At 49.4% G+C, this 24298-nt stretch overlaps 1 protein-coding gene, 2 long non-coding RNA genes and 1 other non-coding gene across 9 annotated transcripts in view, besides 6 other annotated features; 2 read left to right on the top strand and 2 right to left on the bottom strand.

Moving 5' to 3' along the window:
• Positions 1 to 3630, top strand: part of LOC124904483 (uncharacterized) — a 55488-nt gene extending 51858 nt beyond the window's left edge. For all 3 annotated transcript variants that reach the window (XR_007066790.1, XR_007066792.1, XR_007066791.1), the window contains one exon: positions 770 to 3630. This is a non-coding gene — a long non-coding RNA (uncharacterized LOC124904483). The remainder of the gene's footprint in view (positions 1 to 769) is intronic.
• NAV1 (neuron navigator 1) overlaps positions 1 to 24298 on the bottom strand; it is a 287843-nt gene that overhangs the window by 101285 nt on the left and 162260 nt on the right. For all 4 annotated transcript variants that reach the window (NM_001389617.1, NM_001389615.1, NM_001389616.1 and 1 more), the window contains 2 exons: positions 12766 to 12868; positions 6930 to 7295 (listed from right to left, as the gene is read on the bottom strand). In NM_001389617.1, the coding sequence (NP_001376546.1) occupies positions 6930 to 7295; positions 12766 to 12868 (469 nt within the window). The remainder of the gene's footprint in view (positions 1 to 6929; positions 7296 to 12765; positions 12869 to 24298) is intronic.
• Positions 1 to 24298, top strand: part of IPO9-AS1 (IPO9 antisense RNA 1) — a 141304-nt gene that overhangs the window by 103875 nt on the left and 13131 nt on the right. The window lies entirely within an intron of this gene.
• Positions 705 to 1206: an enhancer, noted in NCBI's record as "H3K27ac hESC enhancer chr1:201693607-201694108 (GRCh37/hg19 assembly coordinates)". NCBI's record gives its function as "activates a minimal SCP1, AML or CMV promoter by ChIP-STARR-seq in naive H9 embryonic stem cells {active_cell/tissue: H9 hESC(naive)}" and the evidence as "EXISTENCE:reporter gene assay evidence [ECO:0000049][PMID:30033119]".
• Positions 5415 to 6061: an enhancer, noted in NCBI's record as "H3K27ac-H3K4me1 hESC enhancer chr1:201688752-201689398 (GRCh37/hg19 assembly coordinates)". NCBI's record gives its function as "activates a minimal SCP1, AML or CMV promoter by ChIP-STARR-seq in primed H9 embryonic stem cells {active_cell/tissue: H9 hESC(primed)}" and the evidence as "EXISTENCE:reporter gene assay evidence [ECO:0000049][PMID:30033119]".
• MIR5191 (microRNA 5191) lies at positions 6058 to 6177 on the bottom strand. The gene has a single exon (NR_049823.1). It is a non-coding gene; the product is annotated as a microRNA 5191 (primary transcript).
• Positions 11930 to 12224: an enhancer, noted in NCBI's record as "tiled region #1273; HepG2 Activating non-DNase unmatched - State 10:DNaseD". NCBI's record gives its function as "activates a minimal TATA promoter and a strong SV40 promoter by Sharpr-MPRA in HepG2 cells {active_cell/tissue: HepG2}" and the evidence as "EXISTENCE:reporter gene assay evidence [ECO:0000049][PMID:27701403]".
• Positions 11930 to 12756: a biological region, named in NCBI's record as "Sharpr-MPRA regulatory region 1273".
• Positions 12068 to 12756: an enhancer, noted in NCBI's record as "H3K27ac-H3K4me1 hESC enhancer chr1:201682057-201682745 (GRCh37/hg19 assembly coordinates)". NCBI's record gives its function as "activates a minimal SCP1, AML or CMV promoter by ChIP-STARR-seq in primed H9 embryonic stem cells {active_cell/tissue: H9 hESC(primed)}" and the evidence as "EXISTENCE:reporter gene assay evidence [ECO:0000049][PMID:30033119]".
• Positions 21751 to 22323: an enhancer, noted in NCBI's record as "H3K4me1 hESC enhancer chr1:201672490-201673062 (GRCh37/hg19 assembly coordinates)". NCBI's record gives its function as "activates a minimal SCP1, AML or CMV promoter by ChIP-STARR-seq in primed H9 embryonic stem cells {active_cell/tissue: H9 hESC(primed)}" and the evidence as "EXISTENCE:reporter gene assay evidence [ECO:0000049][PMID:30033119]".

Here is a 24298-nt window from a genome sequence, read left to right as displayed (position 1 = left end):
TGCGCCTAGCCCACTTATTCATGTTTTTTTTTTTAAGAGACGGAGTCTTGCTCTGTCACCCGGGCTGGAGTGCAGTGGCACAATCATAGCTCACTGTAGCCCCCCCGCCCCAACTCCTGGGCTCAAGTGATCCTCTTGTCTCAGCCTCCCAGGTAGTTGAGACTATCCATAGGCACGTGCTGCCATGCCCAGGGTATCACTTTGTTGCCCAGGCTGCCTACCTCCCTTTTAGATTTGAAGTCCTTTCAGGAGAGAAACTGAGTTTCCTTCCTGAACTTGAATGTTGGGTCCTCCCGAGGATGGCCCCCTACTGCTCTCTGCTTCTATCCTTGGGTTCCATGAGCAAAAACTAGGCCTGGCCCAGCTGTCCCGCTAGGCGGGATTCCTAAAGACCTACCAGGAAACAGAGAAGGCAAAGGCAGAAGAAGACATAAGAAGTGGGACAACTCTACTCCTTGTCCATTCAAATTCAAAAGGGGTCTCTTCTCTTTGTACAAACCACATAAACCCAGTGCTCATTGCAAGAGAATTCTTATCGATGAGGGTGGCTGGGTTGGGTATCTTGAGGTCTGAGAGTCAGACATGAGCCAAGTGGGAGGGCAGTGAATGCAGCTCCTTCTCAGGAGGGTAGCTGCAGAGGCTGGGGCCCTGTCAGCAAGGCTGGAAGTGTCTCTTTAAGGCTTGAGCTCGCTGATTCTGGGAGCACAGAGCCAGCCTGGGAGAAGGCAGGGGCCTACAGTTTATTTTATTTGACATTTTTCAACGTCAGGACACTTCAGAGCCAAAGAGGAAACGAATCCCATCTGTTCTGAGCCCCCAAGCACAGTTCAAGAGGACAGGCTGGGGAGTGGAGGAAGGGGCGGTGAAGAGAAAAATAAGAAGACTGGAACATCCAGCCACACACGGAGGGCAGGAAGCCACCTGATGAGAGAGCCAGGGTGTGGCAGAAGTCGCCAAGGAATCCTTCTGTTCCCGACACACGCCTACAGCACTCGCTCAAGATGGAGCCTGCTGACTCTGTCTAAGGCCCTGTGGCCCTTGGCATAGGTTTCAGGACAGCAGTCCTGTCAGGGCTGTGGACCTCACACCTCTATGTAATGTGAAGGGCACCCTCTGGAGTTGTGGGACTTGGCAGTAGTGTTACTGCACTGGCCTGCAAGTCCCCATCCATTACTGCCACCCAGCTCAGACACAGCTCACCCATTCACATACACAAAAATGGACACATTGAGAGGGAAACCCACATTAAAGTAGGGAGAAGATGGAGGGCCCTCTGACCTCCTCCCATCAGGCACGTGTGCCTCCTCTACTCAGTGCCTGCATCCACCTCTGTATGGGTACCCATCCTCTATTCCCCTCCCACTCCAATGGATGCCAGGGATGGAAGGACAGATGGCTGTGAAACTTATCTTCTTATTTAGATTAAATTCCAGACTTTCCTATTTTTAGAAAAACAAATTCCTTTTGTATTTCCAAGTGGTAAAAATGGCCCGAGCTGTCATCTAGGACAGTCAGCAGCCAACTCAAAGTTGTCTGCAGTGTCATGATTTGGATATTACCCTGGCGAGACTACTTCTAGTGTCAAGCGGGTGATCAGTCTAGGTGCCAAATTTTAAGAGGGTCATTGACGTCCTGAGAGCTTCCAGAGGAGGGTGACCAGGACAATGAAAGGTTCGAAAAACTGGGTCATTGAAAAAAGTACTGAAATAAGCTAGGGACTTTTTCTTTTTCTTTTTGGTCTAGAGAATATTTGAGCTATATTAAGAACATGTTGAAATATTTGGATGAAGAGTTACACCCTTATTCTATTTTTCCCAGATGACAGAATTTGAATCAATAGGTAGAAGTTACAGCGAAACAGATTTCAGTTGAATATTTAGAAACTTTCTTATAACTTAATTCTGTATGATATGGAATAAGCTTCCCATCACTGTGCCTATGCAAGCCAAGGATGAAAGACTGTCTGTCAGGGATACTGTAGATAAGATTATTGTACTAGATAGGAACATGGACTAGTCTAAAATTACTGAGAAGCTTTAGAAAAATGTGGCTTTCTGGGTAGCAGAGATTCTGCATTGGTAAGTCTGAGGCTTAGAATTTGTATTTCCAAAAAACCCCATCAGCTATAAAACTCTCAGAAGAAAACGTAGGGGAAAAGCTGCATGGCGTTAGATTTTGCAGTGATTTCTTAGATATGACACTCAAAGCATAGCCAACAAAAGAAAAAAACAGATAAAATGGATTTCATCTAAATAAAAAGCTTTTGTGCATCAAAGGATACATCTACAGAATGAAAAGGAAACCCAATACACAGAATGAAAGAAAATATCTCCAAATCATACATGTGATAAAAGGTTCATATCTAGCATATATAAAGAACTCTTAACACTCAAAAAGAAATTAAACAACACAATTTAAAAATGGGCAAAGGACTTGAATAGATATCTCTCCAAAGAAGATGTACAAATAGCTAATAAGTACATAAAGCTGCTCCATATTACTAATCACTACAGAAATCAAAACCACAATGAGATAACCACTTCGCCTCCATCAGGATGGGTTTTTTCTTTTTTTGAGTTGGAGTCTCGCTCTGTCGCCCAGGCTGGAGTGCAGTGGTGCAATCTCGACTCTCTGCAACCTCCGCCTCCTGGGTTAAAGCAATTCTCCTGTGTCAGCCTCCCGAATAGCTGGTATTACAGGCACGCACCACCACGCCAGCTAGTTTTTGTAGTTTTGGTAGAGATGGGGTTTCACCCCACACCAGTTGGCCGGACTGGTCTCCAACTCCTGACCTCAAGTGATCTACCCAACCCAGCCTCCCAAAGTGCTGGGATTACAGGTGTGAGCCACCGCGCCTGGCCAGGATGGCTACTATAAATACAAACAAAACAGAAAATAGTAAATGTTGGGGAGAATTCGGAGAAATTAGAACCCTCATTCATTGCTGGTAGAAATATCAAATGGTGCAGCCATTGTGGAAAACGGTATGGTGGTTCCTCAAAACAAACAAACAAACAAACAAACAAAAAACACATAGAATTACCATATGATACAGCAATTCCATTTCCAGGTATATACCCAAAAAGAACCGAAAGCAGGGACTTGAATAATATTTGGACACTAATTTTCAGAGCAACATTCTTCACAATAGCCAAAAGGTGGTAACAACCCATGAACAGATGAATGGGTAAACAAAATGTGGCGTATACCTACAACAGAATAGAGTTCAACCTGAAAAAAGAATGAAATTCTAACGCTACAACATAAATGCTCCCTGATGACATTATGCTAAGTAAATAAGCCAGTCATTAAACAACAACAACAACAAAGACTGTATGATTCCACTTATATGGGTTACCTAGAGTAGTCAAATTCATAGAGACGAAAAGTAGAATGGTGGCTCCCAGGAGCTGAAGGGAGGAGGAAAGGGTAGCTACTGTTTAATGGGTACAGTTTCTCTTTGGGGAGAAGACAGAATTCTGGAGATGGACGTGATGATGGTTACACAGCAGTGTGAATGTACTGAATGCCACTAAACTGTACACTTTAAAATGGTTAACATAAAATGGTAAATTTTATGTTATATATATATAACCACAATTTTTAAAAATAAATCCTTTTTAAAAAACATGTATGATTATTCTGGTAGCAGCATCAGAGTCACTTTCTTCCTTCTAGTTTGCTGACTTCAGTTTGAAGAATTTGCCTTCTTTGGTTTGCTGACTAATGACCTGAAAGGGGCCTGGTCACTGGAGGGAGTAGGGAGAGCTGACTTGAGACTGAACAGGGGCTTGGGAAGAGCCGTCAAAGGGATGATCCCCCCGCAGATAAACAGAGTGTGGAGAAAGCGCCAGAATTACTGTCATCTTTTATGGCTCACTCGGATAGCTTGGAGCCGATTATGTCACCCAGTGGGGAAAGATCAGCTTTTCTGCTGGCCCAGTGCTGGGAGCTCTTGGGAGGTGGGAAAGTAAATTGCAGTGGGCCGAGGCTGATGGGTGGGCAGGGGTGTCGCAGTGTGGAGGGAAGCGCTGAAGCTATCCCTACAGGGAACAGTCCTACCCCTTTAATGACTAGAAAAACAGTTTTTTAAGAAATAGGACATTTTCTAAATTATAACATCTAGATGGAAACCACAGTGGGGATGAGAAGACCAACAGGAGGCTGAGCAACGACAGCTCAGGTTTGCATGTTCACTTAAAGAGTCGCTGGAATCCAGGTTGCCCTGTTACTAATTAAAACAACAACAACACTTAACCATGAAAACCCATAATCGAGGAGTGACTGTTTACATTAAATTACTGGGGATTATAAGTTGATTCCCTTCAACTCTGACTTCTCAGATGGCCATGTTTACAGTCCCAGCAGGGAAGTTAACAAACTCGTGTTAAGGGTTACTGCTAACTGAAGGTTGACCATAAAAAATGCATGTGAAATGATCTTGTAAACTAGCATCACAGTTTACAGGAAGGTCCACTTTATGGATATTGCCATGCCAACAATTGATTCTGTGTTCCCCATGCAAACTCCAGGCTTCCCAAGGCTTACAGCTGGGGGCTGTGCAGGGAAGGCAAGTTCTTATTCATGCTAGTCTCGGTGAACTCTAATTTTTAAAAAATGGATTCGGGAACACACATCCTGTCCAGAGGAAGGAGGATAAAGCAAGGGTGTTAGAGGGGGGATAAAGGGGGTCTTTCCTACCCTTTCCCCCTGCATTCCATGCCCCCACAGCCTATTATCTATGCCCCTGGGATTGACCAGCTGCTACTAGATCTGTCTTTGCTGCTGATGCTGAGTAAGTGGGACTCTGGTCAGACTACACACCCCTGACGGTAAGAATCATGTCTCTCCATCAGTCTGGGACTCTAATAACAACAAAAATAATATAGCAACAAAAATAATAGCTATCATTTAGTGAGCATTTACAATGAGCCAGGAATTATTCTAAGTACTTTACATATATTAACCCATTGAATCCTCATCAGAACCCTGAGATAAGTTCTACTGTTATCTGCATTTGACAGATAGACAAATGAAAGAAAGCCTGGGGAGGTGAACCAGTTTGCTCAAGCTCATACAGCTAGTTAAGAGCCGGAAGTCCTGCCACCTTCCTCAGACTGCGACGTCTCCAAGCAGGGCTCCTGTACCTTGCAACACTTGGGGTATTTTCTGCCATGGCCATCAGGTGGGTTGGTGGGGTGAAGGGCTCTCAGAGGGATCTCGTTTCCATCAGTTTGGGAGCTGTGCTGGGCAGGGGCCCCGTCACCTCCATCAATCTGGGAGCTGTGCTGGGCAGGGGTCCTATCACTTCCCCTGTCTGGAAGCTCCCTAGGGTCTAGGGCTATGGTTCTTCTAACACATGGGGGACTTTCTAAAGACTCAGCCCCGCAGGGCTTGTGCCACCCTCTGCACCCTCCTGGGATTCTCAGAGGAGGGCAGTGACCTGACACTTCCTCAGGCAGTCCCTGGCAGCTTCCTAGGGCAGAGGCTGTGTGGAGCAGCTCCTCACACACCTTGGCTCTCCTTCCTGCCCAGCACAGGCCTCTGACCACAGAAGGAGCTCAGGATCTGTGCACTGCATGGCTTTTCTCTGGTCCCAGCTCCAGGCTGGTGGATCTGAGCGTGAGCGCGAGGTTGGGCTGGCCCCTGGGATTTAACAGGCAGTAAACAACTCCATTCATGCGTCAGTTGTTTTGCTCCAGAGCAGCCTCATCAGCTGGACAAGCCCTAACCAGATCCCTCCAAGTTCTCTGCAGGGGTGGAGATGGGGGTGGGGAACAGTGGATGGCCTGGAGCTTGGCTCTCGTCTTTTCCGAGGAGAGGCTACTTTCCACTCCCTTGAAGTCTGGGATTTTTATTGGGGAGAGGCAGGCCCTGGCAGTAAGATATTAAGTCCCTGAGAAGGAAGGGAAGGGATGCTGCTGCTACTTGTATGGCCCCTTGGCGGAGGAGGGCACCAGCAAACCAAGAAGGGAGAGTGAAAGTGGCAGTAGGCTAAGAGGTGCTCCAGAGAAGCTTCCAGAACCACTGCCTCTCTCCTGTCTCTGGGCTTGGAAGAGTTGGCCAGGATCCCCCTAAGCGCCCAGCACTTCATTCTTCCTATCCTCTCTTCTATCCTCCCAGACCAGGAGAGGACAGCAAGAATGAAGTGCTGGGGGCTTGGGGTCCTGGCCAACTCTTCCAAGGTTGGAAGGCATAGGCACAACTCTGTCAATTAAGGCAGAAAAATATAAGAAGATGAGGGTCCCTGCAGGGCAAAAGGCAGGAAAGAAGGATTTGACACGCTGGGTAGGGATTAGGAAGTTGCATGATTGGTAGAAGGTTTGCACAGGAAGAAACCCAAGGAGCAGACACTGAGGACCACAGGGGTCGGATAGGGAACTGAGGGGTTACGAACCCCTGGCAAAGGAAGTGGAGCTACTGCTGCTACTCACTGTTTGACTAGCGATTTCACCCACAAGCTCTCATTTTCTCTTCTTAGGTAGACAGATACGATGTTAATAACCTTTTTGGTTTTTTTTTTTTTTGCAAATGGGAAAGCAGATTTAGTTGTCCAGGGTCTACACAGAGTTCGCATAAGAGCTGGGAATAAAATGCTTTTCCAAGGCTCTTTGAGCCAGTTTATTGAGGGCAAAGAGCCAGGGAGGAGGGTGACAGAATGACAGCCACAGAGACCAATGAGAGGGAGGCGCCTTCATTGACCAATCAGCTCCTTGGATGTAGGCCCTGCCTACACCACACCCAAGTCTAGAATAAACCACATCGAATTTCAGAGGCAATCACAAAGTGTACACAGCACACTTTTGTGTACTTTCATAGCAGCACAGCAAACCAAAACCCGTTTTGGGTTCCACTCCACTTTTAAGGCGTCGCATCCCAGTGGTCTTTCCACCATCCTCCCCCGCCATCCAAGAAGCCCCTGCGCTTACCCGGTAGTGATGTCATCATCCTCCGTCATGGTCTTGCCCATGAGGTCACTGTCGCTCATGTAGCCGGACTTGAGGTCCACCTCATCCGAGTCCAGGGATTCGACCAGCTCCAGGCGGGAGATATGGCTGAGCTTGCTGGGGCTGCGCATGGGCATGGTGTGGGAGTAGTGGGCCCGTTCGCCGTGCATGTACCAGGCGGGCGTCCCCTCCGAGCGGCAGCTCCCACCCACAGAGGGCGCGTCACCAGCCTGCAGCCGCGGACTGGACTGGCCATAGCGCCATGACAGAGGGGACGAGCGGTTGGAGAGGCTGGACACGCTGCGTGGGTTGGCATCATCGCTGTCGTAGCAGGTCATCTCCAGGGAGCTGGGTGGAGAGCAGAAGGCACTACTTAGTCCTTGGCACAGCCGCCGTGTGCCCTGTCCCCTCACATGCACCCCAGCAATGCCTCCCCTCCACCCACAGGCCCTGTCACCTCCTCCCCACCTGCCCAAGCTCCACCTCCTCCATGAGGCCTCTGGTTGTGTGTTACCTTTGTGATACGTTATCTGTTTGACAAAGGAAATGATCTTAATTAAGTGGCTAGGGAAGAAATCCTGTATACTGTTAAGACCCTAGATTGTGTAATATGACCTAGGTTTGAATTCTTTTTTGGTATTGGTTAGTAAAGGAGCCCAAGGAAAGTAAATAACTAAAGCTTCAGTTTCCCCATCTGTACAATGGGGATAATGGCATAACATCTACCTTATAGAGTTGTAAGGATCACATATGTACAGACAGAACACAGTGCCTGGTATATGGAAGGGGTCAACAGACCTGGAGGCAAGTGGGAGAGACTGGTCACTTGAGCTTAGAAGGCCTTGGTCATTTTGTTAATGGTGTGTCCATCACCTCTCTTCTAGTAATTAGCTGAGGGCTAGCTGATTCCCAAACATCATATATAGGAAAGCTGAAGTAGAGTGCAGAGAGTATAGGAAAAGCTTTGGGAATCTGGGATGTATGGCAGGTCCCCAGTAAGACTGGTCCAAGCCACAGGCCTAGGGCAGCAGGGGAAATAAGCCTCCCCAGAGAATAGAAGCAGCCTTAACTGGACAAAGGAGAGGACACAGGGAACCAGACATGGGGGTGAAGCCAAATGTCCAGAGTCTCAAGCCTCAGGCCCTGCTAGACCAGGCCAAGGGAGCAATGCCCAGGTGAGTGCTGGATGGCCTGAGACTAGGGGAACCTGGGGGACTAGGGAAGGAGATAGGGCCAGGCGGGCTGCAGAGAGGAAATACAACTGGAATCTGGTTGAAGGGGTGGCTTGGACTTGGGTTCAGGCTGAGACCCATAATTCCATCTAGCCTAGCAGTGGGGCCAGCCCAAATCAGCCTCAGGCAGGGTCTCCATAACTTATCCTAATTAAGCCAGACAGGACTAAGTAAGCGAAACGGGGTTTGGTGGCCAAGAAAGCTGGGGCAACTGAGGCAATCTGTGGCTGGACATGAGTTACATGAGCCCAAGCAATCACTGCTCTGTGAACACATCCATTGCTTAGCCACTTTGGGGGCTGGAATGGGAGTGGGACATTGATTTTTCCATTCTGGTTTCTATCAAGTTCCTTGAAAAGAAGAAAAATTTCCAAAGTTGTCTCTATTGGACCTGAGAAAATACGGTCTTATTTTCTAACCAGCAGAACTTGAGGGATCCAAACGCTCTTGAAACTGAGTGTGCTGGGGTCCTGGCAGTAGTCCTGTGGGCAAGATGGGGGAGGCCCTGGCCAGTCAGGGCAATCAGTGGCAGCTGCTTCTGGCCCTCTGGAGGGCTTCCTGACCGTGTCCATGCCCAGCGGCTCCCCTCCTGGCCCTGCCAACTCTTTTTACTTATTTACTTATTTTTGAGACAGGGTCTCACTCTGTTGCCTAGGCTGGAGTGTAGTGGTGCAAACACGGCTCACTGCAGCCTTGACCTCCCGAGCTCAAGTGACCCTCCTGCCTCAGCCCCAAAGTAGCAGGGACGACAGGCACACATGAGCACATCTGGCTAATTTTTGTATTTTTTATAGAGATGGGGTTTTGCCATGTTGTCCAGGCTGGTCTTGAACTCCTGAACTCAAGCAATCCTCCCACCTCGGCCTCCCACAGTGCTGGGGTTACTGGCGTGAGCCACTGCACCCTGCTTCTGGCAGCCCTTTAGGAACCCCTTTGTGTTCTGCAGCTCTGCCTCATACAGTGTCTTGTTTCGGCTTCTAATTACTGTGGACCTAGACATCACATCTCCTTGGACAGAAACCGATGTGCCCCGAAGCCAGAGACTGTAGTGATGGTGCGACTTTGTCTGCCTTGCTCACTCACCACGGTATTTCAGCACTTTGCATGGCACCTGGCCTAGAGCTGGTGCTCTAGAATGAATCAAAGAGGAGCAAACCCACGATGGATGTGTGAGTAAAAAGCAAGGAAGTTCTCATCAGAAAACTCAGTCCAGCGCCCTGTGCAGTAAGTGCTTGATAAAAGCAAGCTGACCTTGACCATGGGATGAGACAGGGGAGGAAGAGGATGATGCTAACCATACTAAGAGGGTGGCGGGGATCTCCAGGGAAGCTGGTTTGGGTAGTTAGCCTACACCATGGTTATATACTAGTGTGGGAGTGAGGGCTGCACTCAGCATCTGGGTTCCTCAATTCTATTCCTGGCCTGCCCCTGTTTAGTTATTTGTACTAAAATTGCCTCTTCCCCTATTCCACAGCTCTCTCTTTTTTTTTCAGTTCCCCCAAACACATCTCTAGACATCTCTAGACTTAAGCTTGGTGAGGGGGATTCTAGCTCAGATCCTCAGTTCTTGAATTCCAGCCCTGCACCCACCCTTCAGGCTTGCCTTTCTCTGGGGAGGACACAGTTTCATTTCCTCTCCAGCCACAGTCTGACCCAGACTCTCCTCGCTGGGGGAAATGAACCAGTAGAAATTGAGGAAGCAGCACAGGAGTAAAGGCTTCTGAAAAGGAATGGAATCCAGTTATCCTGGGAGTTCCTGGGTGAAAACAGCCTTGCAGGAAGCACACACTGGACCATAAGCTCCGAGGATGAAGCTTGTGTGTGTTCTGGGGAGCCAGTGCCCAGCGCTGTGCCTGGCACACAGCTGGCATGGGTTCTGAGCATGCAGAGTACAGAACCTACCCTCATCAGCCAGCGTGACTCTGGCAGGTGCCTCCCTGCCCCCAGCCTCATTCTCTAACCCAGGGAGTATGTATATATCCTGTCTACTTCCAGGGCTAAGGGAAGGGCTCATTGATAGAAAGCCCTTTAAAAAGTAAAAGAGCCGGCAGGGCGTGGTGGCTCACACCTGTAATCCCAGCACTTTGGGTGGCCGAAGTGGGTGGATTACCTGAGGTCAGGAGTTCTAGACCAGCCTGGCCAACATGGTGAAACCCCATCTCTACTAAAAATACAAAAATTAGCCGGTGTGGTGGCACGCACCTGTAGTCCCAGCTACTTCAGAGGCTGAGGCAGAAGAATCGCTTGACCTGGGAGACAGAGGTTGCAGTGAGCTGAGATCATGCCAAGGCACTCCAGCCTGGGAGACAGTGAGACTCTGTCTCAAAAAAAAAAAAAAAAGAGCCATAAAAAGTCAGGGAATCATTGTTTTGGCTACCAGTGTGGAACAGGAATAATATAAACCAAAGCCTATGAGAGGAAGTGGCTCTAGGTCCACAGTAAACAGAAAAACCAGCTCCGGGGCTCTTGGTTCCTTTCCTATAAAGGGAGGCAGAAGCCAGAGGCCCTAGACGCTCCCCCTAAACCAGTCAGCATTATGCAAAAGGCTTGATTGAAGCCTCCCCTTTCCCACTAGAAGCAGAAAACCAATAGCGCCTGCCTAGGGTCAAGCTGTCCGGCTTAACGGAGGGACTGGGGGCTGGCTGCTCTGAGTCAGTGGCACCAGGAGGCTGGAGCTGCTACTTCTCTCCTACTCCTGTGAGTGAGTCATTTGGGGTGTGGCCCTCTCAGCAACTAAGCACTTTCTGGTGTCTTTGGCATGAGGCTGGTGGGTGACTTGGTGCTGAGAGATGTTCCAACAATTTCCTTGGATGGGGGAAGGCAGATGTCCAAGATTTCATCCGCTGGGTCCTAAACTGATAAGCCAAGCTCTGCCAGATCCCTGCTTCACTTGGGCTCCTGCTGGGGGCTTGGGGCTATGAGGGATGGCAGTAAGGGACAGATGTAAGGGGGTCCTGGAGCCCCCACCATCCACCTTTTTCCAGGACTTCCTTGGTCACCTCCCTTTCAGTAGTCAGGGTTCTGCTGGCCTGAGCAGAGGTAATCCCCAGAGAGTTTTGATTTATCTTACCATTTAAAATACTCGAGATGTCTGGGAGTAAAGGGCTGAGTGTCCAAGATGCGGGCATGGGCTGGGGATAGGGGGAGGAGTAGTACAAGGAAGGAGAAGGAGAAGGGTCATCTAAGCAGGAAGAACTACAGCCAACGGCTGAAAGCTACTTAAGACTAAGTGCAGTTCCACATCAGAGTTGCTGCAATCCCACAATGCACCGGGGTGACTGAAAGGTAGTGAGTTGGCCGGGCGCGGTGGCTCACGCCTGTAATCCCAGCACTTTGGGAGGCCAAGGCGTGTGGATCACTTGAGGCCAGGAGTTTGAGACTGGCCTGGCCAACATGGTGAAACCCCATCTCTACTAAAAATACAAAAATTAGCTGGGCGTGATGGCACACAGCTGTAATCCCAGCTACTCGGGAGGCTGAGGCAGTGGGCGACAGAATGAGACTCGGTCTTTAAAAATAATAACAAAATATTTTTAAAAAGCCTATGTTAAAAATAAAAAAAGAAAGGTAATGAGTTCTTTGTCATTGGTGGTATGTAAATATGTCCATGGGTGTGGTCCCATCCTCAGAATCCCAAATGGCCACACCCTGGGCTAAAGAAAGTCCTTTTCCACTGCCCCTGTGTCCCAACTTTGCTCTTAATTTTCCAGCCCCAGGAGTTGGAGAGGAATCTACTTCCAGTCTAACTGGGGAGGCTTCCTAGCCCTCACACAGCCTTCCTGCCCCACACCCCCCATGATTTCCCAATCTGGCTGTCTGTTCTGCCTCCCGCTGTCCCCAGAGCTTAGCCCAGCCCTCTGCCCCACTTGGAGCTGACAGCATGAGCTCATCTGGGCAGTCCAAGGAGCCAGCAAGGGAAATTCTGAGTCACAGCAGAGCCTGTGGCCAGGACTTTGCTCCAGAGAGAGGTGCCGTGGGAAGGCTGAGTGCCCCATGCAGCTGGAGGCTATGAGGTCTCTGCAGGGAGTGGGCTAGGGGGACACACCTAACAGGGCATGGAGCTGGGTGACACTGTGTGGGCCCTGTTGAGCACTCAAGCCTCCCTCAGTGGCTCGTAGAAGAGGCCAGGGGGCACCTAACTGACACAAGAGTGAAAAGACCCAGGTGTTGAGAAGGGAATTGATTCTAGACCCCTAGTTTAATGGAGACTTAGGAACAGGAAGAGAGCATTTAGTAAACCTTCTCTTGACAGATTGAGGAGACAGAGGTCTAATGAAGGAGACTGACTATCAAAGATCACACATTGAGCTGTGTAATGGCTTCCACTTCCTGGCTCCTAAGCTAGTGATTTTCAAGCTGATTTGCTGAAATGAAATGAAATGTTCAGGCACAAGCAGACAGAAGACAAAGCCAAGCTTCTCTTGTTGAGATAAATGGATTTCCTCCTCCTTCTGCAGTGGCTCCACGCATCAGGCCACCTGGCTGACCTGGCAGAGGTGTGGAGGGACCCGGGGGCCCTGCCCTCCAGAATGGGGTGGAGAGCCAGGAAGGCAGAGGGCATGACCCTCTCTGCAGCTCGAGCTTACCTGTGAGTCACCTGGGACCCTCGCAGGCTGGACATGGTCTCTTCCAGGTTCTGCCGGAGATCCAGGACATTCTGCACTGTCCTCTTTCTCTGGGACTCTGGGTCTGGTAGGGAGAGAAGGAAGAGCTGGGTGAGTGAAGAGAACTTAATGCTGGGATCCTGGGGGTCAGGAAGTGGAGATTGACAGTGTCCCCAGGAGGCTAGTCCCTGGGCCATGATAGTCACCTTCCTCCTCCCTTTCCCAAAGACAACCAACAGAATGGGCCCTCTCAAAGGCCCTGGACATGTGCCATTGAGCCCTCTGAACCCCAGATCCTGGCAGGGGGTACAGGCATGGCTTTCTGTGTCTGTGCACTCCTTTCAGAGCCCCCAAGGAACTGCCTCTACCTCTGGCTTTGTTTTGGGGAGGCCCTGCTTCTCATAGCAGAGGTCCTGGGCAAGATTTCTCGTGGTTGAGATGAGCTGGAACATCTGCCTGAAACCCCCTATCCAGGGTTGTGCTGGTAAATGTTTAACAACTGGCTTTCGGAGGAAGGGGACACCGATGTGTGGTGTTTGCCAATTTCCCTGGTATAAAGCCTCCTATCATGGCCACTTTCAATCTACCAATCTGATGTCACTGACCACAGAGTTAGGAAGAGGGGCTAACAATTGGCTCTGGGGAACTGGTACAAGCTGGCTTCAGTACACCTAAACCCAGGCACTGACTGGTAATATCTGGGGTTGCTCTATGGGGTCCCAGGAAGTTAGTTCAGATATAGTCTCCTAAAGGTGAGGTGGCTGGTGGGAGGTGGAAGGGATGAGCAGTCATTTTCTGGAGCTTGAAGTGAGCTCTGGGCAGTCCCCACACAAGTGGTGCAATCCTGAGTGAGAAGGATGCATGGGTGTGGCCCAATCCTCAGAATCCCAAATCACCAAGAGCCATTGTATTCAACCCTGGTGTCCAGATATTAGCCTGGACGGATGAGAATCTACAACAGCAAACAGGGTGAAAATAACGTCCAAATGACTGAGAGGTGCTTGAGCATGAAGGAACTCAAAGAATGTTCTTCCTTCCTTCAGTTCATCCAATGAATCTTTATCAAGCACTTACTTCACATCAGGCACCACCCTGGGCCCTAAGGACAGTATAATGAAGAGAAGCTGGCCCTGCCCCATGGCTTATCTTTCATTTTGGAACCTAAAGTCATGAATGGAACCAAGTCCCCCAGTACCTCCCTAAAAGACAATCTGCAGGAGAGAGTCAGGGAGTGACAGAAAGATGATGGCAAAACAACAGAGAAAACCCAAGAACTCTGGCTCTCCAGGCTGCTCCCTTTTCCCCTCCATCCGCAAGCCTTCTGCCGCTGCTGCAGAGGCCAAACGCCCCCTCAGTCCCTCCTCAGCCCACAGACTCAGCAGGAGTGTAAGGTTTTTTTTAGCTGCCAAAGGGAACATTTCTGAATCTCTTCAAGAGGTTTTTATTCCCCCAAGACTAAGCTCAGGCCGGCTGGCAGGCAGCTGCTTGACTGTCTTGTCAGGGAGGGGAGGCTGGGTGGGGCGGGCAGGGAGCCTGCAATGCCCTCTCCAGAGCCTTTTGGGCACCTTTTCTGAGAACCAGCTCCACACCCAAGCCCAGCCATCCCTCCTTTCCCCTCCCAGGGGGAGCTTCTCCACCCCCACATCCTCTCATGGTCAGCACCATGAATCCAGGCCTCCATGCTGGTGGCAAGGATCAGGGACAAATGGCAGGCCACCATGCCAGTGGCCTAAGCTCTATCCCCAGTCCTGGCATCACTTCCGTGGCCGCCAATGCCTATTTATCCTGGCAAGTGTCACCTTGTAAGCTGCTCCATGGCTTTAATTGATGGCTTGGCATGAAACACAGACAGGGTCAATTTTTTAGACTCGCCAAGAAATAAAGTTGAATTCTAAAATGCCTATGTGGGGACTAAGAACATGGTGCCAAGGTGTGGGTTTCTGGCCCAGGGTGATGCTTTTTATGGGCTTGGCAGACATGAGGGACAGGCACACACATCTCCAAGGGGTGTGTATTCCCAAAGAGGAAGGTGATCAAGAGTTACTCAGAGACTTCTGTGTGTGCCAGACCCTTTGCATGCATTATCTACTTGAATCCTTGCAACATTTCTGGGAGATTTGTGCTACTGCCCCATTTAACAGATGAGAAAACTGACACTCAGAGAGAACAAGTAAACTGCCCAAGGTCACACACCTAGCATGTAGCACAAGGCAGAGTTGAGCCCAGGAAGAAACTCATACTTGTCTTGATATATCACAGGGCATCTCTGCACCACTAGCATCAAGCATGGTGACTGTTGTATAGGAGGCGCTTAGGCTGCAAGCAGTGGCTCATGCCTATAATCCCAGCACTGTGGGAGACCGAGGCCAGAGGATCGCTTCAGGCCAGGAGTTTGAGACCAGCCTGGGCAACACAGGGAGATCCTGTCTATATAAAAAATAAAAATAAAAAAATTGGCCAGGTGGCTCAAGCCTGTAATACTAGCTACTTGGGAGGCTGAGGCAGGAAGATCACTTGAGCCCAAGAGTTCAATGCTGTAATGAACTATGATCACACCACTATACTCTAGCCTGGGCAACAGAGTGAGACCCTGTTTCAAAAAAAAAAACAAAGAAGATGCTTAGTGAACATTTCAAGAATGGATGCTACCACAATTTTTTAAAATTTCCAAAAACCCATGAAAAAAAGTAAAGGGATACATACATGTCACGTTAGGAAAATGTCTTTTTTTTTTTTTTTTAAGGAAAAATGTTTAAACCACACAGTAGCCTCAGGAGAGTCATGCTGCATTCCCTAATGCCCCAGATGCTCCAGATGGGAGTCATAGACATCTAGGTCACAGGTTTGACCCTCTTTCTCCATATCTCTTCCCTCAAAGACCTCTATCCTAGCCCCTTCCTCAATTCCACATCAGCAGAGTGTGGTGGGACTATTTCAGAGTCTCCCAGAGTCGCCAAACCACAAGAGTCCTTGAAAGTCACTTAATCCTGCTGTGTCTCTGGAGAGCTGGGAGGCTGAGGTCCAGGAAGTAGGGACTAGCTGGAGATCACAGAGATGCGAATGGAAGAACACTTGACTCCAGGCAGCTTCCCCACAGGTATAGATTTGGGGCATACAGGGGAGGAGGTTAGGGCAGGGTTTGGTTTCCTTGGGGGTGACCAGGATCTGGTCTCTGCTACCAGGCTGGAGGGGCCCTGCAGAGGCTACACCCTGCAGCTCCCTCTGTGCCCCAGCAGTGGCCCCTGGTGGCCATCATGGGTATGCCGCTCTGCTTCTCCAAGGCTCAGCCCAGGGTGGGTCTGGAGGGTTGGGGCCCCTGGTAAGTCTGGCTTCCTCCACATTGCTAGGTGACAGACACATTCCCGGGGTGGTACAGCCACAGCTTCAGGCCAAGAGGACTTACCTGTGTACAAAAGAAAGGCCTCCAGAGCTCCAGAGGCTGCAGAGGGGGCCTAGGTTGAGGAGCCAATCTGACATTCACACCCATGACCCTGAAGGTGAATTTTTATATTTTAGCTTAAAAATATGAGTAAGTTACATTTCCAAGGGAATTTACTTCACCTCTCAACCCTCATCCATTCCTGATCTTCACCTTACCCCACCTCTGACCACCAACCCATAACTAAGCTTCACCCCTTTCTCACCATCTCCTGTGAGGGTGAGCATCCCGGATGGGGTGAAGGTATCTAGGGCTTCCGCTACTCTGTGATAATGAGAAAAGTAACCTAAAAGTTCAATGGTTTTTTTTTTTTTTTTGGAGACAGGGTCTTACTCTGTCTCCTGGGATGGAGTGGCATGATCACGCCTCACTGCAGGCTCAACTTCCCTGGTTTTGAGCGATTCTCCCACCTTAGCCTCCTGAGTAGCTGGGACTACAGGCATGCCCCATCACGCCTGGCTAATTTTTGCATTTTTAGTAGAGACGGGGTTTTGCCATGTTGCCCAAGCTGGTCTCGAACTTCTGAGCTCAAGCTATCCTTCTGACTCAGCCCCCCAAAGTGCTGGGATTACAGGTGTGTGCCATCGTGCCTGGCTAATGGCTTGTTTTATTGGCTAAGTTGAGATGCCCTGGAGGCTGCCTCCATGTGTCTCTGTCAAATGTTTTGCTCTGGGTGTGGGACAGGCCTGGGGACAAAACAGAGCCCAGACATGGCAAAGATGCAGAGGGAGTCTTGGTAGCCCATCCCCTTCCTCAATACCCCTAAGTGGAGGACGTGCTCAGAATACTCCCATCTTACGTGGCACCTTTGTGCAAATTAGAACAAGGTACTCTCCAGTCCAACCCACCTCTAGCCAGGTCCTAGTAGAGTACAGCGTTCTCCTTCACATGATACCAGCCAGGATGCCACCCTCCAAAACTTACTCTGGGGGCCTGGGAGTGCGTGCTGTCTTAGCTCCTACAGAACAGGGTCCAGCTGCAAGAGTGAAGTGTGTGTATGTGTGTGTGTGTGTGTGTGTGTGCGCGCAAGTAGGGTTTGAGGGGGGAAGGGGGCAGGTAGGGCTCCTAGCAGGCCCCAGGGCGACACCAAGGTCTATGGGGAGGAGCTCATGATGTTATCCTGGGCTGCCCTCCAAGCCTTTCCCTGAAAATGGAGCAACTGGGGAGAGAATGTGTGTGCTACTCAGGCTCAGAACAGATGCAAGTCTCTCCCAACCCAGCCATCACCACGGCAATTCACAGTTACCACAAACAGCAGCATAGTCCCAGCATGCACTGGGGCATCTGCAGAGTAGGATGGTGTTTCTTTCTACACACTGTTGGCTCTTATGCAAGACCACAGAGAGAGCATACTGTCCATGTCAAGGGTCTTTGGGAAAGGACTAGCAATCAAATACACTTGACAGACAGGTGCATGCACACACAAATCAAATAATGCCCAGCTACTCAATGTTCACCACGAGGCATTTTCCATGTTATTTAATTTGAGCCAGGGGACTGATCACAAGTCTTTTTGACTCCAAAGCCCTTGTTCTTTCCACTACAATATGGTGTTTCAAAATACATGCACATGCCTCCAGATATACACACCTACTTGTGGTCTAGCCTGTAGTTTGTGGAAACCCTCATAAAACTCTGCAATTCTGCAGACATATGCATAGAGAGATTTCTGTGGACACATCTCCCATTGTATGGGGAGGAAGCAAGAAGACTAAAACGTTGCTAGAGGAAGAGAAGTAATTTAAGGGACAGCCCAGGGTGCACTGTGAGGATGATGTAAAAAGGGTCTTTCTCTCTGTTCCAGTGTCAGAACAGGGGAAACAGGCTTCCCCAGGAGGGCAGGACTACGAAATTGCTCATCAAGAGATTGGGACCCTAGGGCAAAACTGACAGTGATGTAGTGGCAAGAACATAGTCCTTAGATTCAGAAAGACCTGTGCTTCAGGTCCTGGTACTGCCCCCTTCCCAGCTTGTTTGAACAAGTCATCTCACCTCACTGCAGTTTCCCGCTCTGGGAAATGGGCATGATACCCACTTGGTGGGGTTGCTGTGAGGCTTAAAGAGCTAATTCACAAACATGCTTATAGTACGGTGCCTGGAACAGAGTAGGTGCTCTATAAATGGTGGCTCTTATCTGTCAGAAGGCACAAAGAGGTGGGTGAACAACGGGTGCACCCTCGGGCTGGCACTGAGGCTGGCCCCTTGTCTCTCATTTGCTGATGGGCGTGGTGCACACCCCTGGAGGGTGCAGCTCAACGGACCTGACATTCTCTTCCGGAACCTTGCTTTGGCTAGGTGAGACCCTCACTCATACCTGGAGTTAGGGGTGGATGAGGTAGTAACAAAACCTTGTTTCTGTGTCATCAGGCCTGACTACCACTCTCTCACTGCTGTGAGGCAATACAATATCTTCAATCCCGTTCTCTTGGGGCCAATCTTAGCTGTGGAGTATCGTGAACCTCAGGGGTCCCCTCTGGCCTGCAGTCTAAAATCTGATGTAGTAATAGGTGGAGAGCCTTCAACCGAGGGTAATAACCCCCCAAAATTCAGAGACGTTCAGGAAGAAGGAGACTCATGGGAATCCATCACCCGGCAGTCAAATTTCCCCAAGTTCTATAAAATTTTAATTATTGGCTGACAATTAAGTAAACTGAATAACTGTTGAAATCTTAATTATTTCCACCAGTGTTTCAAATCCCACATTAGTGGTTTGGCTCAGGGCAGAGGCCACAGAGGACTGCATTTGCACCTGACTTCTAGACTGGCTTCTGCTGTGAGTGGCTGGATGAGGTGGGAACCAACAGAAGGAACGGAAGTGAGCCAAAGAAAGAATGTTTTCAAGTCATGGCACTTCAGAACTTGAAAGGATCTCATTTTGTACACGGCGGTTTCAGGGTGGTGGTGGGGGAACAACAATCCCTCAGGTCCAGAGGGGAGGGGCCTGCCCAGTGTCACCAGGTTGTGAATGGCATGGTAGCTATCACTCTTGGCCCAGGGATCTTTAGACCAGCACTCCATGCTGTGGGCTGGGGATGAAACACACAGAGATGTATCACCAGAAGAGGTGAACTGCAATGTAAATTAATCATGTGGGATGGTTTGGGACTGGGTCCCAAATCCAGGCTAGGCTAAATGATCTGGAAACAAGAAGGATTAAGCAACATAAGCAACACAACACACAGACACACACACACACACACACACACACCCCTTCTTAATAACTCCCAAAAAGAGAGAGAGAAAAATATCTTTCCTGACCCTGTTAGATCCCTAGGGTGAAGCCCAGGTCAGTGGGAGTTTATCTGCACATCTCACAACCAGCATTTGTTGATGATCGTCTGGTGCTTACAATGAGTCAAACGTCTTTGGGAATCATTTTTATTCCTCTCTTCCACTCAAGGACACAAACCTTCAAACTCCAGCCAGGGAGAGCATTGCAGGCCCACCTCAGTGCACTCCTTGGTCTAACGATAAACTCCAGGTCTCTACCCACTGCTCAGAGCTGGACTAGGAGGGTTCTGCTGGTTCTTGCATCCAGTGACCTTGCACTGATTCACTGCAAAGGCTCCATCCTACAGTGTGGCTGGGGGCAGGTATGGAAAACTGACAGATAACCCAGCAAGCAAATCCCCTCTGCCTTCAGGTAGAGCACAGTAACTGTCCCTACAGTGACTCCATCCCCTCTCTCTATCCTTTTCTTCGCCATCTGATGACCCGAGAAGCTCTAAAACAGATGCTGGCAGGCCCCCACACCAGAGGCACCCCATTTCCATGGAGGATGCAGGCAGGGGACTATTTGTTCTCTTACTAATCCTATCTTTCCCTCGTTCCCCCACTTAAGTCACAATATTGTCAGAGGCAGTTGTCACCGAACCCCCGCAGCATGGCAAATCTCATGCTTCTCGTAGTTGAGTGCTCCTGCTCCCCAGGGGAGCTCCCAGGGTTTTCATCCTTACCCCAGAGAATCCGGAACCATCTCAATCAGCGAGTGGGCTGAACTGGAGCCCAGCGCTCAATGGCACTCCTGTTGTTTGCTGCATGGGGACACATACCCAGAAAGAGCCAGGACTAAAGGACTAATGTGTTGGCCACATGGGTGTGTGAGGCAAGGAAAGAAAAACTAGGAAATAGAAGCAAATCTGGGGCCAGAGAGAGGAGCATGCACGGCCATCTCAGCCTGGAACTGCCAGGCAGGTATCTTTCCAGATCACCTACGGTTTTGATTTTCACTGAGTGAGATGGCTTGGATTAGGGACCCTCGGTAATGCATCTCCACTGGGCACTGGGCTAAGAGGAATCGTAAAGCAGGGCATGCCGGGTGGACAACTTAGAACACGTAAAGAGGGTGAGGGGCAGTAGCTTATGCCTGTAATCACAACACTTTGGGAGGTAGAGATGGGAGGATACCTCGAGCCCAGGAGTTCAAGACCAGCCTGGGCAACACAGCAAGAGCCCATCACTATAAAAAATAATAATTTTTAGAGTTCTAGCTTGGGGGCACACATGACTTAGCTGTGGGAGCTAGGGTGAATTACTTCCCCTCTTTGGGCCTCAGTTTCCCTATCTACAAATATGGGAGTGGGAGTAGAGGATACCCAAGCCCCTACCCAGCTTTGACAGTCTGGTTCTATGGTTTTGTACTTGGCTGAAGCCCATAAAAGCATCTTTTCTCTCAGAGTATGCTAAAAAGGCAGATACCAGGGTGTCACCCCCCAGAGCTTCTGATTCAACAGGATGGAGATGGGGCCTCATCTTTGCAAACCCCCACAGTGGAGGGTGTGCTACATAAGGCCACATTTTGGAAAATCCTTACATCTCATTGCATACCACCAGTATTGGATGTCCATTACAAAACCAGGGCTTGACTTCCTGATGCCAAGTGGCTACGCAAAGTGTCCCTGGCCTTCAGAACAAATCTACTCTTCAGGCACAAGTCTGTTCTCAGGAAAAGCCGCCTCCTTCATCTCCAGGCTTGGGATAAGAGAAGTCACCTAGCCACCTCAGCCTTGCAGCAAGAGAACCCAGCCCCAGTCCAGCCCCCGCCAGGCTCTCTGGGGGCTTGTTGCTGAGAATGGCCACAAGGGGGCGTTGCCGGTCCTCAGCCGGCTGTGGCCTTGCTGCGACTGCAGCGCAGCGAGGTGGACAGCGTCTCGCTCAGGCTCGGGAGCCACCGCCCAGGTCTCTCTCCCTCAGTCTCCTGCTTAGCACAGCTCCTTTCCTCCCAGGACTCTGCACTCCTAGGGCTGACATCTTTCCCGCAACCCTAGGCCTCGTGGCCAGGCTGGGAGAACAGCCTGAGTTTGCAGTATCTATGACGGGGAGCCCACCCGGTTCTTGGGGAGAGGGAGCAGGGCCTGGCTTCTGGGATTAACCAACCAGCCTTCGGCACCAGGGAGGTTCTGGGGACCCACAAGCCCCACTTGGCAAGCTCTGATTCAGGGCCAAAGTTTCCAAGAGGCTCCAGCTGGCCTTTCTGCTCCAGTCCCCTGGGGAAATATTAAATAGATCAGGGTTCAGATCTGTGCTCTGAGGCCTCACCTCTGCTCCTCCGCAGTGTTCTTGAGGCTGGGAGCTGCCTGATGAGCTGGGAGGACAGTCACCCCACCCCCTCCACCACACCCAGGCTGACCCTTTCTGGGGAGTGGCAGCCTCTCTCTGCAGCGAGCTGAGGGCAGGCAGTGACCACAGGGCAGCCCCACGCGGATGGCTAGTTCAGGCCACAGCCTGTCACAGGACAGCTCAGCCCTGCTCAGCCGTGTGCAAAAGTGCAGCCTTTGGCAGCAAACTTGGGCCGGGGAGACGAGCTTAAAGTTCCAGGAGAAAGCAATACCTCCACAGCCACTAATATTTAGCAACAAGATCACGTTAGGAAAGGACTTGCCAAGGTCAAGGGTGGTCCATGCGGAGGACTGTGGGACCAGGAGAGGGTGCCTGGCCTCGAGCCCTGTTTGGAAGGAGTGCTAGTTTGCTATCCTGACTTCTCCACCTCAGGAGAAACACCTCCCTGCCCCATTTCCTTGTGAATGTTAGATTATAGGATCAGAATGATAGGTTATAGGATCAGATAGCAGACTCTCGAACATATTCTGTCTTCTCTCATTTAAAGACTTGGACTTCCGGGCTGGGCTCAGAGGGCTGGCCTCCTGCAGAAGGTGGCCTGCCTGTCTCAGCCTGGAGACGTGGCCCTCTGTTCCCCAACAGGCCTTGACTTTCCTGCCCAGTGAACCTCAAGGTTTACTGAAAATGTTTTCCATTAGTGATCCTGCCCAGACCCTTCATGTGACACCCTGCTCCAAAGAAGTCACTGCTGCTGGGAGCTGGGAGTGGTTGTTATGGCAACAGTTTACACAGCAGAGAGAACCATCTGCAGGCAAATGGGGACGGGAGTGGGGAGGGGCTGAGTCCAGGTGTGGATGACAATTGGAGGAGGCCCTGGGGGATTTCTGGTTGTGACACTAGTAAGATTAGTATTGGCTAACTCTTCTACAGGGCTGGGTACCAGGCACTATTCTAGCAGCTTTATGTATATTAGCCCATTTAATCTTCAGGACAACTCTTTGAGAGAGCCCAGTTATTATCCCCATTTTACAGTTGAGAAAAACGGAAGCCTGGGGAGGTTGAGTAAGCTGTCCAAGGACATATAACAGCAAATGGCAAAGCCAGAATTCAAATCCAGATAGTCTGACTCTAGAGCGCATAGTCCAATATTGTCGCCACTAGTCAGAATGGGGAGAGAGAGAGAGAGAGAGAGAGAGAGAGAGAGAGAGAGAGAGAGAGAGAGAGAGAGAGAATTCACATACCAAAATTCACCCTTTTAAAATGTACAGTTCATTTGGGAGCCGACGCTGGTGGATCACTTGAGGTCAGGAATTCAAGACCAGCCTGACCAACATGATGAAACCCCATCTCTACTAAAAATACAAAATGAGCTTGGCATGGTGGTGCACTCCTGTAACCCCAGCTACCTACTTGGGAGGCTGAGGCAGGAAAATCGCTTGAACCTGGGAGGCAGGGGTTGCAGTGAGCTGAGATCGCACCATTGCACTCCAGCCTGGGCAACAAGAGTGAAACTCCATCTCAAAAATAATAATAAAAAAAACAAATAAAATGTACAGTTCAATTGTTTTTAGTATATTTGCACAGTTGTACAACCATCATCACTATCTAATCCAGACTATTTTTATCATTCCAATAAGAAGCCCTGTGGCCATTAGCAGTCACTCCCTGTTCTCCCCTTGCTCCAACTCCTGGCAACCACCAATCTACTTTCTGTCTCTGTGAGTTTGCCTATTCTAGACATTTCATAGAAATGTAATCATGCAATATGTGGCCTTTTGCATCTGGCTTCTTCCACTTAGCACAACGTTCTCAAGGTTCCTCCATGTTGTAGCAAGCATCACTACTTCATTCCTCTTCAGGGCTGAATGATATTCCATTGTATGGATATACCACATTTAGTTTATCTATTCATTTCATAGGCATTTGGGTCATCTCAACTTTTGGCCTAGTATGAATAATGCTGCTATGAAATTCACGTCCATGCCTTTATATGGATGCATGTTTTCATTTCTTTTGAATGTATGCCTATGAGTACAATACTGGGTCCCATGGTAATTTTATAGTTAACATTTTGAGGAACTGCCAGACTGTTTTCCAAAGTGGCTGCTCCATTTCTCATTCCCATCAGCAGTATATGAGAGTTCCAATTTCTCCATATCTTCACTGACACTTGTCATTGTCTCTTTTTGATAGCCATCCAGTGGGTATGAAGTGGTATCTCACTGTAGGTGTCATCTACATTTCCCTAGTGCCTAATGATATTGAGCATCTTTTAGATTTAAGTTAACTAAAATTAATGAAGTTTCAAATTCAGTTGTTGGGTTGCACTAGCCACATTTCAAGTGTTCAATAGCCACATCATTACACCAGCTCGTAGCTACTGCAGCACAGATATAGAAGTTTCCACCACCTTGGAGCACTCTTAGAGCCACTGGAGTTGGTCTGTGCTAATATTACTGGCTCTTTTTCTTTTTCTTTTTTTATTTTTTTTATTATACTTTAAGTTCTAGGGTACAT

The sequence above is a fragment of the Homo sapiens genome, chromosome 1 (genome assembly GCF_000001405.40).
Source record: "Homo sapiens chromosome 1, GRCh38.p14 Primary Assembly".
Lineage (NCBI taxonomy): Eukaryota > Metazoa > Chordata > Mammalia > Primates > Hominidae > Homo > Homo sapiens.
This window is presented reverse-complemented; position numbering and strand designations above follow the sequence as displayed.